This window comes from Homo sapiens, chromosome 8 (genome assembly GCF_000001405.40).
Source record: "Homo sapiens chromosome 8, GRCh38.p14 Primary Assembly".
Taxonomy (NCBI): Eukaryota; Metazoa; Chordata; class Mammalia; order Primates; family Hominidae; genus Homo; species Homo sapiens.
This window is the reverse complement of record NC_000008.11, coordinates 84,335,796-84,356,092: the sequence shown is the minus strand read 5'-3', so window position 1 is coordinate 84,356,092 and position 20,297 is coordinate 84,335,796. Positions and strand designations below refer to the sequence as shown.

Here is a 20,297-nt window from a genome sequence, read left to right as displayed (position 1 = left end):
GGAAGGAAGCACCTTCTTCACAAGGTGGCAGGAGAGAGACAGAGTGAAGGGGGGAAGTGCCACACACTTTTAAACCATCAGATCTCCCAAGAACTCACTCACTATCATGAGAACAGCAGGCAGGGAAATCCACCCCCATGATCCAATCACCTCCCATTAGGCCCCTCCTCCAATTCAACATGCAATTTGGGCAGGGACACAAATCCAAACCATATCATTCTATATTTCATACCACCATTCACCTAGCTGTTAATGCCAAAAACCTCAGAGTCACCTTTATCACTACCTCTTCACCTCCAACTTCTAATCAGATACTAAGTGCTCTTGATTTGACTGCACATAAATGAAGAAATCCATCTAGATTTCTCACTTTCCACTTCCATCCTCATAAGCCTAGTGACCATCCCATGCTATCTGCACTTCCTGCTATCATCTCCTAATGGTACTGAATCTCCTTCACCCTCTACCACATTCTCTTTATATCGCATACTTACCATTTTAAAATACAAATTTGACCATATTGGTCCTCTTAGAAAAAGATAAATTCCTTTTGCTCAAAAACAAAATTTTAAACTCTTATGCTGGTACATAAGATCAATCCCATGATCTATGCATGAGCTATGTTGTCTCCATTCCTACATACAAACTACATACAAACTCACTTTCCACTTCCTTGGAAAAGCTTTTCCTAACCCATATATTTGGAAAGCCACAAGTTATCCACTCTTACTGAACACTGTTCTTCCTTCTGAATTAGTTTGAGTTCTTAATTTAATACTGTTTCTGCCACTAAACTATGCGATATGGGGCAGCTGATGTGACATATTCATCATTATAGTCCTAGTTCCCGGCAGAGTCCTTGTCTCAGATTAAGTACTGAATTTGCAGTGATAGAAACAATGGAAGAATGAACTTTTAAGACCCCTTGGTATGATTCTAGATATATCAAATAACTTTCCTAGAGTAAAATTTGGCTCTCTCCTTACGTCTTCTTCATGGAGGAAATGAAGTAGACATATCAAACACAGAGTCTTGTCCTCTCAAAAGTCATAATTTCCAAAGTAAATTATTACTGTGATTTTACATCCTGGTTGTATATTTGTGATGCGCATGAGATAGAAGCACTCTTGGTATGCTGACAAAAATGCAGGATTCATTACAAAGCTGAGGGTTTCTCGCAGGAAGGTGGTACATTTACCCAGGTAGAGCTATTTTGTGAGGTCCTAATTGTGCGGCTTTTCTAAAGAACCATTAACCAAAAGAAAACTGAAACCTTAAGCTCTCAGTGTAATAAACATAAAAATCCCAAAGTATAAATAGACATAAGCTTTTAGCTACCCCTGTCTTCTAAGGAGGACTCTTCCTTTGCTCAGCTTGGCTCCCAGGATTCCGTTGTATTGACTTAGATATTTAATGTAGAGAAACACTAGAAGTCTTAAGAGGTTAACTTAAATTATATAAGAATGAATCACATGCCATAGAAAAAGAATAATTCAGAATGTAGGAGAAGGGGGCCAACTTGGAATGAGAAAGTCCTGAAGCTACAGCTAGAATTTTCAAAAAGTGACTGAGGAGAAATCAGGGAAATAGAGCTGTGGAGAGTTGTCTTGAAGGATCTGACTCCAGATAAAGCTGGAAGAGAATTTCTTCAGAAGTTTTACTTTGTGGTGTATGGTGTCTAATCCCAATCCCATCACACACCAAAAGCATCCAGTAAAAACTCCTAAGAGCTGTCTAGAGTTGATTTTATATTTTACTTTAAGGGAGAATTATGCTGAGATGGGCCTTAGGGAAAAAAAGAGTTGCATCCCAGAATTGGGTTACAAATTTGCCAAATACATTTAGTTCAAGTGCCTTCTAGTAACTAGCAACTTCCAGCAAACTGTTTTTAATCAGGGTGGCTTTCACTGAGTTGAGGCAAAGGAAAAATTATTATTATGCAAATTGTAATTCTTAACATTGCTCTGGGAATTTCTTCAGTAGCCACAATACACTTTCTTTTAAAGGGCTGTGTGAAAAAAAAAAAATCTATTTTTTAAAAATAGTGATTCCCTCAGGCATGCAAATAAAGACACACAAAAGCACTTTGTCACTGTGAGTCATTGACAACAACTCCAGACTTTCAAAAGATATCCTGGGATATCCAATAACAAATAACTATATGCTTTAAAGTCAAAAATCTCTTACTCAAAATGATCCTTTTGTTATATAATGGCTTTCAAAGAGGAACAAAGACATTTATGACACTATCAAATAAAGACAAAAATATTTATATTTTTAGAGGACTTTATAAGTAAAAAATTACTCAGCTCTATTAACCCTGCTCAGAGAAACAACTCCCAGTCCTCTAACAAATGCTCACCAAAACACCCTTTTTAGGTGGTTAAAATGTTTTTTTCATAAGTTAGAAAGGCAGTTAATGTTAAGTCTTGCACCTTGTAACATATCTTGACGTGCTGTGAACAAAAAATGATTCATACTTTCTCAGTGACTCATTGATTAATCGTAAATTTGCATATCTAAAAGTAGAAATTTGATGAAAATTTCAAGCTACAGGGAAATTATAAACATTGTCACAGCTGGAATCTATTTAGGTGAAGGGATGAATTTTACGAAGCTGCATGTTATAGTCTTGTGATTGAAAATAGTGTAAAAGAAGAGATGCACTGGGAATATTGCTGTGGCAGGTGATCTGTGGGAGACACAAAAATGAATAAAACACTTTCTGTACCACGGGGGCTTAAAAGCTAGTAGGAGATGGAAAGTTTACAGATATCACCAAGACAGTACAGTGAATGACTCACTGGAGTGGGCTAAACGATGGGAGTAAAAACCATGCAAGTTCTATGAAGGGCCAGAATTTGATCTTTATATTCCCCAGCACCTCGAAACAGTCCGGGACATAGAGGGTGCTCAATAAACATATGTTGAATCAATGACAGTAACATGGGAGGGACTGTGTATGTATATGTTAATATGATTGTATCTGGGAAATTATTTGTAATTATAGTTTCAAAAAACTAGAATGACTTTAGGCAGCATGGTAGCATGGGCACTTTCAAGTCCGCAGGTGTCCTGGAAACGTCTAGGGGTGGTCCAACAGGGGTCGCGGCAATTGGCACCTTACCTAACTTGGGTTTCTATGAAATAGATTATTCAAATACAGTATTTTCTTACTAAAAAGAGTTTACAATTTTTTGCAGAGTAAAAAAACGACATAAGATTTGCAGTCCAGAGCTCAATGTTCAAATGCTAGGTCTACTGACTATCAGTTCCCCATGGCCAACATGGGGAAATAGTTTAACCTTTCCAAACGTGTGTTTCATTATGTGAAAAAGGAAGATAACAATAGCTAACCCACAGGATTGTAATGAGAAATAAATAAGCATCAAATGCCAGCAGATTACTTATGATATAGTTTTCATTTTTGCATTTGATGGATCTCAGTTCCCCTTCCATTTCATTAATAGTTTCTAAAAACGGCCTAATTCCAGATTTAGTCTGACTATTCAGTCTTGACCTCCTGTTAGTTGTGTGGCTTTGGGAAAGTTATTAAGTTGTCTGACATTCAGTTTCCTCATTTGTAAAATAGGAACAAAAGTGGTATACACTCTCAGGAATATTACAAAAGCATAACAAATATCCTAAATGGCCCTTCAAATATCCTAATTTTATTTGAACCCTGTATGTTGGGATTTTCAAGGATTTGTTTCTTTTGAGTATTTTTAATTTCCATATCTCTTGTTTATTAGTTTCCATTATTAATTTCTTATTCCTTATTAACCTCAGTTTTTTCAGAGGTTCTAAATTACTTAAGAGTATAACTGGAGAACTAACCGGGTAAAATCCAAAGCATGGGAAATCTTTTCCTCTGGATTTAGCAATGGATTTATATTACTAGCACTGAAATAGCAAATTGGAGGGGAAAAAAAGTCTTTAATATCCCCACAAAGTAAGAATTAAATTAAAAATATATTGTGGATAAAAATTTCTTAATTGGGCAGCTCTCCAAATTTAACTTGCTTTAAGGTCAAAAGAACAACTTTCTCTGCAGCTTCGTCTCCAATGTGGGGTAAGATTCAGGTTTACACACATATATTTCCATCTAAAAATTCACAATTACTGCACGCTGTGAAATTAACCTCTCCAGGTCACCTTACAAACTCTAACTCCCATCCCATTCAGTCATCATGAACTTAATTCATTTGCTTCTTAAATTGCAAATGTAATGAATGTATTAAAAATGCCAAAATACCTATTGTCACAAATGAATAAGCACAACGCATATTTCTAGATACTCTGTAGCATCAAGTACTTTATATGCCTTTTAATAAAGTTATGGAACAACCATACTGTACCACTGATTGTGCACCCCATCCTTGCAAAACAAATAAAAATAAAAAACAAGGTAGTCTTAAGAGACCTAACAAGGACAAATAAAATGAAGCTGCCAAGAGAAAAAAAATCGAATTAACAATATGGGAGACTATCAGAACTGTCCAAAGATAAAATGGGCCATATTGAAGGGTATCTAGTTGGCCACATGGTAGGGATAATTCAGAGGCAAGTCAATCATCAACTAGCCAGTAATACAGAAAAAGGAAATTTATGCACCCCTGGGAGCTGGAAAAGTCCCTCTGTACCACAGGATTCTGTAAATTCTAAGTAAAAATAATAAAGAATAGGCTATTTTTTAAAATGAATGTCTAAAGGCAAAATTCACATTTAAAATAAATCACATTAAGTAATAGTTTGAGGAACAAACCACAACTATAAGTACATAATATTAATATCATGACAGTTTCAGAAAAGTAATATATGAGAATACTTAAAGTTTTCCTCTTATTGATCAGTTTAGAACATTCTTAACAAAATAACTACTTAATCAGATTCAAGATGACATTAAGTTATTATTTAGTATAGAACTGGTTTTGTCTGTTATAAATAAACATTTTACTTTAATGTAACACTGTTCGATATTGATATTTAAAGTTCTAAAGAAGAGTTAACCGAGAACAAACAGGAATAAATTATTCATCATTATTATTTTTGGTATTTTGTTTTGCTATTAACATGTTATGAAAAACAATGTCATGCCACAATCCGCTCACCCCCTCCTTATCCAAGGCAGTCCCAGGTATCTCCCCAACAGAGATCCTTAGTGCCCAGGTTTATTTCCTACTGTAAAATAATTCTATTTTACCACTGAACAAAGATAGCTGGCAAAGCTCTTCGGAGCATAGAAAGCAACTCTTCTATTGATTTCTCTCCTTCAAATAGTGCTCCAAATCCTCCCTTCTAATTATAGTATTTTAGTCTACATAAAACTACTTGCCCCTAATTACTCTTAGCCAATTTCCACTGGACAGTTTTATTTGTGTTTTGCTTATTTGGCAGTATTGTCCCAATAATAATGAGAAGGGGCCTCTTGTCACTGTAAATGGTGTAGCACTCTGATTAACGTGGCTTTGTGAAGTTTACTAGTGCCCTGGTTCTGAGGTAATACATGCATGGCTTGTTTTTACTTACTAATTTACTTAGTTGCTTATTTTCTTACAGACTTATTTATTTCATTCTGGAACCCACAAGCAGACCAGTGTAGTACTGTCTCGACCAGGGACAATACAGATTTCAAATGAACATTATAAAACAAGAAAAATAAAGCAAACTAAATTCATAGGCAAATATTTAAAAAAATTCTTCATTTTACAAAAACACTTGAAAAACAGCACTCAACAGCAACTATTTCTGCAGTTTTGCAGTATAGCAAACTGTTATAAGCATTCACATTTGGAGCCTGATGTGCATTTTAGATCCCTGTGAACTGGTTGACTGCAGAAGATATTGGGAGTGTCAGGGTATGTGGGGGAATAAAGCTATAGGCCTAGCCAACTGTGGTGGATATTGGTCATACATGGGGCTGCCCAGTGTCTTACGAAAAGCCATTTGGTACCTGAATATATTTTCAAACTGTGAATTCTACCTTTCCAGTTCAGAAGCTCAACTTGAAATAAGCAGATTCCTTTGCTGTTGTGATACAGACATATGACCTAGGCTCCAGAAATCAAATGCAAAAATCAAGAGACACTTGTATTCAAATGGGAGTAATGGGAAGAAGTTGTTTATATTTTTGCTGGGGGATTGGGAGTTGTGCAGTGGTGTCTGGATATACTTGGTGACAGCAGCAGAGACAATGATGACCAAAATGATGCAAGGTCAAGTTCTTGGCTCAGGCCTAACCTCATTAAGGTGATGGGTGATTCCTCCATCTCATTGCATGGTAGTTACTAGGCTCATGTTCATATAAGGCCAGCCTTGTGATATGCTTCTAAGCATATCTCTTGAAGATGTAGCCTCAAACTTGGCTTCCCAGAACTCTTGTCAATTCTGTATTCTAATAAGCATATTATAATGAACACATTTGATACTTAAGTGTTTGCATCTGTTGATTGCAATTAAGAACAATGACTGATAATGACTGAATATAAGGGTAGGTGGGGGGAGAGAAAATATCAAGGCAGACTCCAGAATTTGAAGCTCAAGTAACTGCATAAGGATGACCTACTAACCAAAGATGTCCAGTGTGGTAGGCAGGGGACAGCAGTAGTTCTCAGGAACTTATGATAACCAAAATTTAGTCAAAGACTGATGTGTGTTTGGATTTCAGCTCTTCCCCTTGTTCAGTTTCTTAAACTGTAATACCTAATGTTCCTGTGAGAACTGGGTATAATCTACGTGAAGTACTCATGAAAATTCACAATACAAGTTGCTGTTATAAAGATAAGAAAGGTGCAATAGCATTTTTCTGAATGAATCATCTAATTTGTAGACCTAGCCCTGGAGAGGGATGGGTGGTAAGTGTTAAATAGAGTACCTGGAATCCTAGCCAAATAAACTGGGTTTTAAATGTTGGTTCTAGTTCTAAGTGTGGTCTGGACATATGATAAAACTTAAATAGGAAGGTAAATCCAGGGAAAGCCAAGAAAAATTGCCTCTGAATGGCTGTTCCCTGGACCTCGGACTATCCATAGGTTGATCTCAGGCACACTTGTCCCAAGCCTTAAGCAGCAAATCTAAACCAGTGGTGTTAGGCTTCTCTTCCCTACCCAGCCTGTTTCAGGGTTGCCTGAATAACTTAGCCTACAATTGAGGGCAACTCTAACCATAGGTGAGTTAATCACAGGTTAGTTAATCATAGTTAACCTATGGTTAACTCACCTAACCCTAACCCTGGCCCAGAAATGTCAAAACTTTCCATGCATCTTATGATAATTTACACACATACACCACCCGAACATACATACACCATAATCCTTTTCCCTCACAATTTTCTATTATAGGCTCAGAACTTGTAAAAGTTGGTTCTAAATAAATATTTGTAGTATTGGATTAAATTTTTAAATTGAATACCTTTTGAGAAACTGCTGGAATATGGTTTTCTTGTTATTTTTAACTTCAGAAAAATGTTTACGGTCGATAAAGCAGTAATTGTTCCTGGTGGTGTAATTGCCTGGGCATTGTGCAATGATTTGATCAGACCCTTTATACAGACCCTTCTGTACATTAAATGGACAACTGGCTGGGTAAAATAACCCACTTTGTAAAGTGATGCTGATGGGAATGGGGGTGCAAAATAGCCTGGGAGGAATGAATGTCAGTGGGACATGCAGTGAGCTCTTGCAAGGTAAGTGAAATGCAACAATGTAAGTAGAAAATACAGAAAAAGTGCATGCAAGCCAACTTTCAGCTCAGTCATTACTCAGTCAGCAAACTCTGTCTCTGAAAATCCATACCTTTTGACAGTATAGCCTGGTGCAAAGATACCAAATAGTGAGTTACTTCCTCAGAAGTGATTTTGGCAATAGAGCTGTTAAATTAAATTTGTCTTAAAGCTGCCTATATATGTAGCAAATTGCAACCTTACTTAGTATGCAAATAAACTGTAATCTAACTTAATAGTATATTCCTCCAACAAATAGCTAAGTCTCAGCCAATCACAGCAGCCAAACTCCAGCCATCACAGGCTGCCAACTGATCAGGTTAGGTCCATATAAGGCAAATGTCTTGTCCCACCATGCCCAAAAAAAGCAAATGCTAAACTTTAACCTATCAAGCTGGGTTTTTTTCATCAATTCCCTTTCTGTCTATAAATACTATCTACTACTGGGGAGAGCTCTCTGAACCTCTACAGGCTCAGTGTGCTGCCCAACTCATGAATTGTTCTTTACTCAAATAGCAAGCTTTGCTGAATTTAATTTGTCTACAGATTTTCTTTTAATAGAGCCTAAGAGGCAAAGCTGCTGATGCTAATCCTGTGCAGAGGCTGGAGTTTTTCATTTCAGTTGCAGTGAAACAGCACAAATAATTAGAGGACTAAAATGTTCAGATACAGTTTATGCATATTTTATTTTGTCTGCTCAGAAAATAGACATTAGGGACTTATGTCCTTCCCTGGATTAGAACCAAGGTGAAGCAATGGGCAAAACTAGTTTGAGAGACGAGAAGAAGGATATATTAGATTAAAACTAAATGGGAAGAGATCCTAACTAACCAAGAAGAACAGGATATTAACCTTAGAGAGGGCAGATTAGGAAGGATCTAATGCCCAAAATCAGAGAAAGCAGAAGCACATAAAAAAGGAAGATGCCAGTAATTAGGGGAAGACGGAGAAATCTAAACATAGTTGAGGTCAGAGATACCATAGAAATGATACGGATAGGGTGGCTGAGGATAGCAGAGTATAAAATCTGCACAAGGAAAATGAAGAAATGCAAAATAAATGAAAAGGACAGCAAAGTAAAGAAGTCAAGGGCTTATTATTTTATTATTGTTATTAATAATAACAAGATTGGGGGGCTAAAAAATACTGTAATGGTAAATGTGTTTATTTCTTTTTTTTTAAATTGCTCTGTCACCCAGGCTGGAGTGCAGTGGCATGATCTCAGCTCACTGCAACCTCTGCCTCCCAGGTTCAAGTGATTCTCCTGCCTCAGCCTCCCAGGTAGCTGGGTTTACAGGCACCTGTTACCAAGCCTGGCTAAGTTTTTTTGTATTTTTAGTAGGGACGAGGTTTCACCACATTGGCCGGGCAGGTCTTGAACTCCTGACCTTATGATGCACCTGCCTCAGCCTTCCAAAGTGCTGAGATTACAGGTGTGAACCACCGTGCCTGGCCAAATGTCCTTATTTCTTAAAAATATTTTATAAATATCAATTCCTTATTTTAGAATACTTATTTGTGTATGGTCTTAAGTATTTTGACATTTTTACTTTCAAGCTATGGATTGTATCAATTTTTAGTTCTCCAATAAAATCAATATTCTGGCATAAAATACTCATAGGCCTGTAAAGAACATTAGACTTTGGGAGGCTAAGATGGGCAGATCACCTGAAATTAGGAGTTTGAGACCAGCCTGGCCAACATGGCGAAACCCTGTCTCTACTAAAACTACAAAAATTAGCTGGACATGGTGGCACACACCTGTACTTCTATCTACTTGGGAGGCTGAGGCACAAGAATCACTTGAACCCAGGAGGCGAAGGTTGCAATTGGCCAAGATAGCACCACTGCACTCCAGCCTGGGTGACAGAGTGAGACTCCATCTCAAAAAAAGAGCATTAGAAACTTTCACTTATCAATCTTTCCTACAACTAGCATAACCATTTGTTAATTCATGCAATACATATGTATTTAATCTCTACCATGAATACAAACATACTCCAATGACAAACAGTAACCATTTATACCAAAAAACCAACATGGGTAATAAATTACTTTAAAGACAGGCAAGCCTGTCAGCCAATCTCTGACACCATTAAAAGAAGCATCTGACATTGCATCTAAATTTGGGAAATCTGGTCAGATGTTGGTTATCAATTTGCTTAAATACATTTAAAATTCAACAATGCAATATTTTATTCAAACATTTGTTGAACACTTACTATGGAGCCAGGCACCTCGCCAAGGGCTATATCTGCAAAGGAAGAGAAAATAGAGCAATTGCTCATGTGAAAACATATAAGCAACCAAGCAACCCATTTCATTAGGATAATTTTGAATAAGAGAAATGCATACAAGTTATAATAATTGTCCCAAGGAGGTAAATCAACGAGGATTGGAGGGTTGAGTGAAGGTTTCACAGATGGAAAGGGCAGGTATGAGTAAAATAGTAAAAAGCAACTTGGAAAACTGATGCACAGTCCATGGTACCTAAACTTTTCCACGGCATGCATCATAATTATTTGATTAATATCTGTCAACCCCACTAGCCTCTGTGAAGCTCCCCAAGAGTAGGATGAAGTCTTTCTCGTTCACTCATATTTAACACTTGTATCTAGCATAGTGCCTGACTTCTTTGTGGTGCTCAATTTACATTAGTGGGGAAGTGAATGAGATGTGTTTCTATATATTAGGGCGTGAAGGAAGGTAGACAGGGAGAAATGAAAATGAGAGGGAGATGCTGGAGGGTCTTCCCAAAGGCTGCTTTAGTAATAGTCTAAGAGTTTAGATTTTCTTTTGAAGGTGATATCATTTCATTGAATTAAATCCATTAACTACTTACAGAATACATAAAAAGACTCATGTATCTAAAGATAACCCTGGGGCAAGGGTAATGTGTATATGGATTGAACAGGAAGAGACTGAGGTAGATATGTCATAGTAGAGAAATTATGACAGCATTTTATTTCACTTCCATGATGAAGTATTTCTAAACTGCCTTTGTGAGGGGAGGGTAATACTTTCTAATGAAAAGTTGGCAGATACCATTGACCTAACATCTCCCTGGGAGCATCTATCTTACTGAGTAACGTAATAGAGGAGGCTATAGTTGGTGACTTTCTGAGGCCCACTACACCCCATAAACATGTTCTGTTTGTCTCCCAGATGTGTAACAATGTAAAGAAAGGGAACCCTTGCACACTGTTGGTGAGAGTGTAAAATAGTATGGCCATTATGGGAAACTGTATGGAAGTTCCTAAAAAAAAAAAAAAAGAGAAAGAAAGAAAAACTGAAACTAGAATTATCATATGATCCAGCAATCCCACTTTGGTGTATATATCATGAGGAATTAAAAAGATATCTACTCCCATGTTCACTCCAGCATTATTTACAAAAGCCACTATCTGAAATCAACCTGTGTCCATCAGTGGATGAATGGATAAAGAAAATGTGGTTTGTAAGCTCAATGTAATATTACTCAGCCTTGAAAAAAGAAGGAAATTCTATAATTTGCAACAACATGAATGAACCTGGAAGACATTATGTTGAGTGAAATAAGCCAAGGACATAAAGACAAATACCACTCATCTCACTGATATGAGGAATCTAAAAAAGTTGAACTCATAGTAGCAGAGGGTAGATTGGTGGTAAGGGGATGGGAATTGGGATGGGATAATGTTATCAAAGGGTGGAAAGTTGCAATTGAGAGATTAAATAATTAATATTTAAGATGATAGATATGTTAGTGTGATTTAATTATTCCACACTGCATACATATATCATAACTCTGTACCCCACAATTAGTCACAATAAATTACAAAAAATTAAATTAAATCGAAACAAACACACCCCCAGAATAAGAAAGTAAATATAATGAGGTAGGTGTTACTATGTCAAACTAAAAGCAGGTTAATGCAATCATCCTACACCTTCCCCAACAGACTCATTTATTCACTTATGTCGCTGCCCAGCTCCTGAAAGTATGTAGGTATGTTACACTACTTTAAATAATCTTCCTTGAATAAAGGAAAAATACATACAATTATAAAGTTTAAAGGTATGATGATAGCACTTTCAATAATAATAAAATTTTCTATTTTTTTGCATAACAAAATAATCTTGATCAATTGTAAGATTTACAAGTATTTCTTAATAGGTTAATCTGTATTATACCTAATCATAGTCTCCTCTGTGAAATCATGGGTTGCAATTGTTATAAAATATAAACTAAAGAGAAAACAAATCCTCCCACTGTGACAAATAACTTTATAAAAAATGAAATTCCTGTTGCGCAAGATTGCACTAAAAATGATAATTATAAACCATAAATACTAGGCATTTTAATATGAAATTGAACACGTTGGGGATTTTTCTAAACATAATCAGTAAAACAATTGCCATATATCACCGCAGGTCATATCCAGTTATCTTTAAACTTTTATATAAGTTATTTCTGTTTCGTTTTCAATTGTTAAAAAAAAAAACAAACAAACAAACAAAAAAACTCTTGAGCTCAGGAGTTCAAGACCAACCTGGGAAACATGATTAAACCTCATCTTTACAAAAACAACAAAAATTAGCCCAGTGTGGTGGCTCATGCTGATAGTCCCAGCTACTTGGGAGGCTGAGGCAGGAGGAATGGTTCAGCCCTGGAGGTTGAGGTTGCAGTGAGCCATGATTGCACCACTGTACTCCAGTCTGGGTGGCAGAGTGAGACCTTTTCTTAAAAAAATGAAATAAAATAAATAAATAAATAAATAAATCATATTGTGTTAGCCTTCTGTTTATCTGTGCTTCTTCCTGAAAGAAAGAATTAAGAGGAGGAAAAAATATCACTTTATATAGGGGTAGAATTACTTAATTCACTTACATCTAAGTATTTCAACTGTAAAATATAAGACGGCTTATTTTGTTTAGCCTTCCAGTTTTTCAATTTTGTATTATTTGGATGATTCTTTGCTGAGCTATGTAGAAAGGTATCAATGTCAGCATTGATAAATGTATGTATTCTATTTGCTTTTCAAAGTGCAAGGAGGATGTATCCGATATTCAAAGTGAGCAGAGCAATGCTTATCTGCATTTCTGAAGGTCTGCAAAAGTCCCATGAATTGTAAGAAGCTGACATAACTAATATTTCATACCACTATGAATATAACTCATTAATAGTATAAACCTATTGACAGTAAATATCCTCCATACCTCTCTGTGGAAGGATTTTCTTTAAATTTTCATAGAGAAGTAACCTATAGAACTAAATCTTTAAAATATACTCCTTTGATAAAAATTATTCTTTAATAGCAAGAATCACAGCTGTTAATGCTGTGATCCACTTTGAATGAAGAGTGACTTCTTTACTTCTGTGCTGCCTACCAAATGGTCAGTGTCTAAGTATCATATTACTTTGCAGAATTTCTGTGCACTTTAAAAATAGGAAAGATTGGCATAATTCTATTATGACTTTTGATTCAAGTTCCAAACAGTAGGAAAAGCTAGAGGCCTAACAGGAGTTCTACTTGTCCACTCATTATATTTAGTGATTACAGACAGTTTACATCACCTGCTTCATCAGATTTTCCCACCCAGACCATTTTCTTCTGCTGTAATATGTTCATACACCAAAGGAAGCCAAGGTAAAGCACCATCTGATGAAACAACATATTACCCAGGCATGCAGAAGTGACATGATATTAATCTGCATTACCTTGGCTAGCTGGATCCCACTGTACCACATCTAGGAGTAATTGGCATATGAAGCCTAGGTCAAACATTTATCTGTTCAGTATGCAATTATAGAAATGCTTGGCTTATCCATCATCATTTGGAAAGAAACACCTACTTCAGTGATTTTTCTAGATAATAGAAATTCGCTTCTTCAAGCACCAAAGCTTTTGGTTTGCTCAATTTTCATTTTCTGTTCAGTGTATTATATATTCCTCTGTTATCCCAGAAAATAAAAACCATAGACATCAATTTGGCCCTATGGTGGACTGTGCTGATGCCTTCACAGACGATTAATGTGTGTAGGCCTGGCTGTTCTCATATTAAATGATTTGGGAGGACCACACTTTTTGAGTTTTATATATATATATATATATTGAACGATGCTCTGTACCCTCACTCACTGTTAAGGCATTGTTAACAATTTTTGCTGCTGTGAACTTGACTGACATTAATAGATTCTGCTCTTTTTGTCCTTTTTATTTTCTGAATTACAGTTCCCTAAGTAAAGGTTTGGTTCTCCCATAAATGAATTTCATCAACTTTAGTGTATGTGTGTGTTCATATTTCATTTATCTTGTCAGTCCAGTCTTATTAACAATATTTTTTCTTGCCTATTTTATCATAATGCAAATGATAATAATGCATCTAATCTTTACTATGGGCTATCCTCTGTGTTAGTTACACTAGGTTATCATGTGCAACCTAATTAAATCCTCCTTATCACAATTTTATGAGGTATGAGCTACTTTTGTCTATTACATTCTACATATGGGAAATTCTCCATAACTCTCAAATGATAGATATTGATTACTTTGGAATAGTGACTTGAATAGTGACTTCTAGATGGGTGAAATGTATCTGTACAATGGTTATCTTTACAGCTGGTTCACATTGATATTTTCAAACAAAATCCTTACATAAGAAGCTTCTATGGGTTCTATGGGCATATTTTCAAGAATGATGTATTTCTATTATTAGGAATGTTTTAAATTTTAAATAAAACAAGCAGTCATTCTTCTGAATTAACTTATTTATATATGGTTAACTTTTTCAAGGGCAATTTAAATTAGTTTGTAAACAAATGGTATGTTATAACAGAATTGTAGATATATAAATGCGATACCGATACATTATAGAAAAATAATCATTTTAAGAAGGAAATTGTTAAGTATTTACTATGTATCAGGGGCTAAGGGGTTACATGCTTCCTAATCTTGTTTATGTCTCAGGTAGCAATCCTCTCAATTTTAAAATCAGGGAAACTAGATTCAAAGAACTAGAATTTGAGCACAGAATTTCACATGTTAACCTGCACGCTTCACCCAGTTAAGAGCAAGGGGAATATAATATTGTAATACTAATGACTGTGCACATAATATTTAAATAAAATGGTAATATTTAGTCTCTCATTGGCAAACCACTTATCTGATAAATAGTTAATAGCCAAAATTATAAAACTCCTACAAATCAATGGCAAAAAAAAAAAAAAAAAATCACCTGGTTAGAAAACAGGAAGAACTGGAATAGACATTTCTCCAAAGATGACATACAAATGGTCAACAAGCATATGAAAAGATGCTCCATACCACTAATCATTAGGGAAACGTAAATCAAAACCACAATGAGATATCATCTCACACCTGTTAGAATGGCTATTATTACCAAAAATAACAACAAATACTTGCAAAATTATGGAAAAACTGGAACCATTATACAGTATTGGTAGGAATGTAAAATGGTGTGGCCTGTATACAAACAGTATAGCAATTCCAAAAGACTTAAAAATAGAATTACAATATAATTCAGCAATTCTACTTCTGGATATATATCTGAAAGATTTGAAATCAGGGTCTAGAAGAGATATCTGCACTCCCATGCACATTGCAGCATCATTTAAAACAGCCAAGATATGGAAACACCTTAACTACCCACTGATGAATGAATTTAAAAAATGTATTATATACAAGCAATTGATTTTTTCGTCTTAAAATAGTGACTTGAATAGTGATGGAATTTATTCAGCCTTAAAAAGGAGGGGAATCCTGCCAAATGTGATGACATGGATGAACCTGGAGGACATTATGCCAAGTAAAATAAGTCAGTAACAGAAGAATAGATACTGCATGGTTCCACTTACATGAAGTATCTAAAATAGTCAAAGTCTTTTAAATAAAGAGTAGAATAGTGGTTACCAAGGGTTAGCAGGAAGGGAAATGGGGAGTTGCAGTTCAATGGATATGGTGTTTCAGTTATGTAAGATGATTAAGTTCCAGAGATCTGCTGTACAACACTGTACCCACAGTTAATAACACTGTATTTTACACTTAAAAATCAAGTGAGTAGATCTTACACTGTGTTCTTACTACTTTTTTTAAGTTTAGTTTAGAAAAGGCAAGACCTAGCAAAGACCTGATGTATTAGTCCATTTTCATACTGCTATGAAGAAATACCTGAGACTAGGTAATTTAATAAAGAAAAAGAGGTTTAATGGACACACAGTTTCACATGGCTGGGGAGGTCTCACAATCACGGTGAAAGGCAAAGGAGGAGCAAAGCCCTGTCCTGCATGATGGCAGGCAAGAGAGCATGTGCAAGAGAACTGTCCTTTATAAAACCATCAGATCTCATGAGAATTATTCACTATCACGGGAACAGCATGGGAAAAACCCATCCCCATGATTAAATTACCTTCCATTGGGTCCCTCCCATGACATGTGGGGATTATAGAAGCTACACTTCAAGATGAGATTTGGGTGGGGACACAGCCAAACCATATCACATAACTGTCCTCATAAAATGAAAGAACAACTCATGGAGGAAGCACTAGATTTCGTACTAAGTTGTCTTGTGAGCAGAACTAGGAAGAGGCATAGGTCGATTTCAGCTTACTGCAAATTTTTCTGTCACATCCCTATGCTTACGGGGGAAATGTTTTCGAGTCCAGCAGTCCCTAAGCTTTTTTGTAACAGGGACTGGTTTTGCAGAAGACCATTTTTCCACAAACTGGGGGGTGGGGTGCTTTCAGGATAATTCAAGAACATTACATGTGTTGTACACTTTATTTCTATTATTATTACATTGTAATATATAATAAAATAGTTCTACAATTCACCATAATGTAGAATCAGTGGGAGCCCACAGCTTGTTTTCCTGCAACTAGATGGTCCCATCTGGGAGACAATGACAGAACATCAGGCATTAGATTTTCATAAGGAGTGCACAACCTACAATAGGATTCATGCTCCTATGAGAATCTAATCCTGCCATTAATCTGACAGGAGGCAGAGCTCAGGTGGTAATGCGAGGAATTGGGAGTGGCTGCAAATACAGATGAAGCTTCACTGGTTTGCCTGTTACTCATCTCCCACTGTGCAGCCTGGTTCCCAACAGGCCACAAACTGGTACTGGTTCATGGCCAGGGCATTGTGGACCCCTGTTCTAGTACATCTAGGTTACATGCAGTCTCTTGGTGGTTCCAATTTATGCAAAAAACTAAGATGTAAATTTGCTCATGTGTACAAATGGGACATCACAAACCTCTGGACTGAGAACATTGACCCCAATCCCCTTAGCTCTAGTTAACCCCATCGTCAGATCATGTCTGCGCCACCCTGACTTTTGGTGACTTGTTCGTATTTGGTTTCTGAGGATACCTCTTATATTTTGTGAACTTATTTATGCCTTTATAAAATAGGTTTGTTATATTTTTAAAATTTCTATACACTTGTTTTTGAAGGGATTGCAGGTTACTGATTTTGACATATTGGCAGAACCATCAAAATAAAACTCTTTTGGAAAATAATAATATTCTGTAAAAGCATAAGATGCTATCACTATCATGTCTATTAGTGGTATTCTAAATTATTATCAGTGTAATTTACATTAAAATATGGATGACTATGTCAGACAATGTGTTAGTATCAGAACTCTTTACTCACAGAAATATTATATACAATACCAAGGTATAAAAAAGACCAAAGAGGGCTGTTTGATTTGAAAGTCTAGCAGCAGCTGTACTAATTCAGCTGTGCTAGTTGAGCACTAAGTTACACTTCCACTCAAAATATGTAGCATTATTCATGTTTTAAGAGAGCTCTTAATATATAATGTTCCCTCCCCAAAGAATGAGTTGGGTTAATCTTGTTAATAATACTCAATCTGTTTCAAGAGGTTTTTTTTTTTTTTTAATTGCAGTACCACAGCTAATTTTATCCTCTTAGATTTGTTAAAATATACTTCCTGATTAATTAATCTTAACATCTTTAGTTCTCTTCGGACAATTCTTATTCTATGTTCTTTCATGTCCCTAGTACAATTAATTTATTTCTCTAAGTAAAAACAATACAATATATTAAAGAACAGGAGTCTGCACTATGGTCCCACTCTGTGACTAACATTCATCTCTATGTAATTTCTCTTACCTATAAAATGAGAATAGTACATCAAATTCCTATTTTACAGGATTATTATAAATAAAGTTTTTTTTTTAAGATGGAGGAATGTAAGGTATCTCATTCTCTAAAAATACCTAGTATTTAAAATAACAAGAAACACAACTATTTCACATTAAGACACTTTACAAAACCTGAGTACGGGTAATTTCTTGGTGCACTCGTTTACTCTCCCAGCCAATGTACAGTCTTAGTTTTTCCTTTGAGCTAATTTGAGCTGTAAGAATTATGAATGGATAGTGTATATTATGGTACCCAGAATGATTCTGGGAATTTTTTAAGCTCCCAGTGAATGGTAGCCTTTCTTTGCATTATCTTCCTTATAGGAAAAGTGGATGGCACAATGTAGAAAGAGAATAAGGGGAAAATTCTATGCATTTAAAAGGTGAGTTGAGTGTCTTTTACCAGCTTTTACAAGGTGTATCAAATGCCTATTTACAAAAGTAAGGAAACTGTCAATTTGATGAAGTACAACTCACAACTCATTAGTGTTTACCACAGAAGAAGTATTCCACATCAAAAATGACTGCTGAAATATTCACAATTACCAGCTGCTCAGAAACCATTTTATATGAATAAAAAACATGTCACATTTAATTTATCAGATGTTTTCTGCTGTCATACTTTCTTTCATTCAATGTACTGAAAAGTTATAAAAACAACTTCAGTCTTACTGTAGCCATGTATAGACATTAAGAATAACACAAATCCATTATCCACCACAATATAATTGTATCTACATGGATGAATGATCTTCTGCAGCTTTTTTGCACTCAATTCTGAATTAAGTGTTCCTTTAAAGATATCTGAAATACACCATTCAGTATCTCTATTAAAAAACTACCATTTCAATATAAAGAAAAAAAAAAAACAATTCATTCCTGAAGCTATATTCCTCGAATGAGCTGGCATTATTAGCCTCATTTCTATAGTGACGACAATGTGAGACATCATCAGAAAAATAATGCCAGTTTAATTTTCTAACAATACTGAAATGAATCAAATATGCACCAAACACTTGTGAAAACAAAATAGTAACAGTCTAGCTTTCCATTGTAATGCTGTGATGTAGGCTTCAAGTAAAAATGTAATAATTTGATTAACCCTTTTCCATAATTATTATACATAACCAACTGTTATACTAATTCTATGAGAAGACTAAAGCAACTAGATACATAGATACACAGACAGGTTATTCCAAATAAAAAATATGAATACAAACACTAGTAGTGTGCAGATTTCCATCTTATATTTAAACCATTTTAAACCTAGCAATGTTCAAACTAGTGTCTATGGAGGGCCCTGCTCTCCTAGGCTCAACTAAATGTGCAGCAAGCATCATTTCTGCTCCACTACATTGCGCATCATAGACTCAGTGCAGTCGTGGACCTCTTAATGGATGGCCCTCACTTTCTGTTTTCAGGGTCAGCTGCAGTGATGGTTGTGGCTCTGTATAAACTGTTGGCAGTAGCTGTTTAATACCACGAAAAGGAAATAAGGCTTGTTTCTTTGGAACTTCTCATCTTAAAAAACAAACACATGACAATCCCCTAACAATTACCAATTTGTGTTGCTTTATTTTTAAATGATTCCCCAACCACTATAAAGGGATATATAAGAATACTTATCCTTTTACATACTTTAAAAATATCCCATTCTATCCCTAAGGCATGTAGAAACTGGGAATGAGGTCCTTCTCTGATACAAAAGAAAGTGTTAATAGCTATCCTTCCAATAAAGTTATTTACTCATACATTACTTTTTTCCCAAACATCATTTTTTAAATACAAGTCTACATGTCAAGAAAAAAGTGAGGACATTGGAAGAAAGAAAAATGAAAAAAAGTAAAATAAAAAAGCCTGGGTTGAAATTGTAAACCAAACATGTGTCTTGCAGTTTTGCACATTTTCTAGAAGTGAAAAACCGTCTCAGCTCCAGTAGATCTAGCAGTTATCACAAGTGAAAAACAATCAATTCAGTGTCCATAAGGTTAAAAAAAATCAGTTGCTCAGAAATATGACTATTCCAAGAACTGTGGACTGAGACAACAGTCTCCTGTAATCCATGTAGAGAAGTCACTGTACTATAGAGATTGTAATCAATCCCCAAAAATAAATACAGAAAAGCTTGCAGGATGATTTTACATTCTCACTGAATATCCACGTATGCCATATGCCAGACTATTGGGATTATTAGATTTAGTCCTGCTCATGCACAAAATCTCCCTCTAGAAATTAAACTTTTTCTTCATTTGTTTTTCTCTAAAGGAGGACAGGAGCTGGAAATGTTTACTTAATTGCACTTGCTAGATTTAATCACTATCCTGGATGTTTCAAGGGCCTCTGTCTCAGTTTTGGCAGAAGGCCCAAAAAGCAGAAACCAAAATAGCAGGGCACATGCTCTTA

At 35.6% G+C, this 20,297-nt stretch overlaps 1 protein-coding gene across 53 annotated transcripts in view; it reads right to left on the bottom strand.

Annotated features, from left to right (window-relative positions):
• RALYL (RALY RNA binding protein like) overlaps window positions 1-20,297 on the bottom strand; it is a 739,058-nt gene that overhangs the window by 565,752 nt on the left and 153,009 nt on the right. For 16 of the 53 annotated variants that reach the window (NM_001413301.1, NM_001413311.1, NM_001413307.1 and 13 more), the window contains one exon: window positions 9,943-9,974. The exons of the other annotated variants lie outside the window; for them this stretch is intronic. In NM_001413301.1, coding sequence (NP_001400230.1) covers window positions 9,943-9,974 — 32 coding nt within the window. The remainder of the gene's footprint in view (window positions 1-9,942; window positions 9,975-20,297) is intronic. 53 annotated transcript variants of the gene reach the window in all.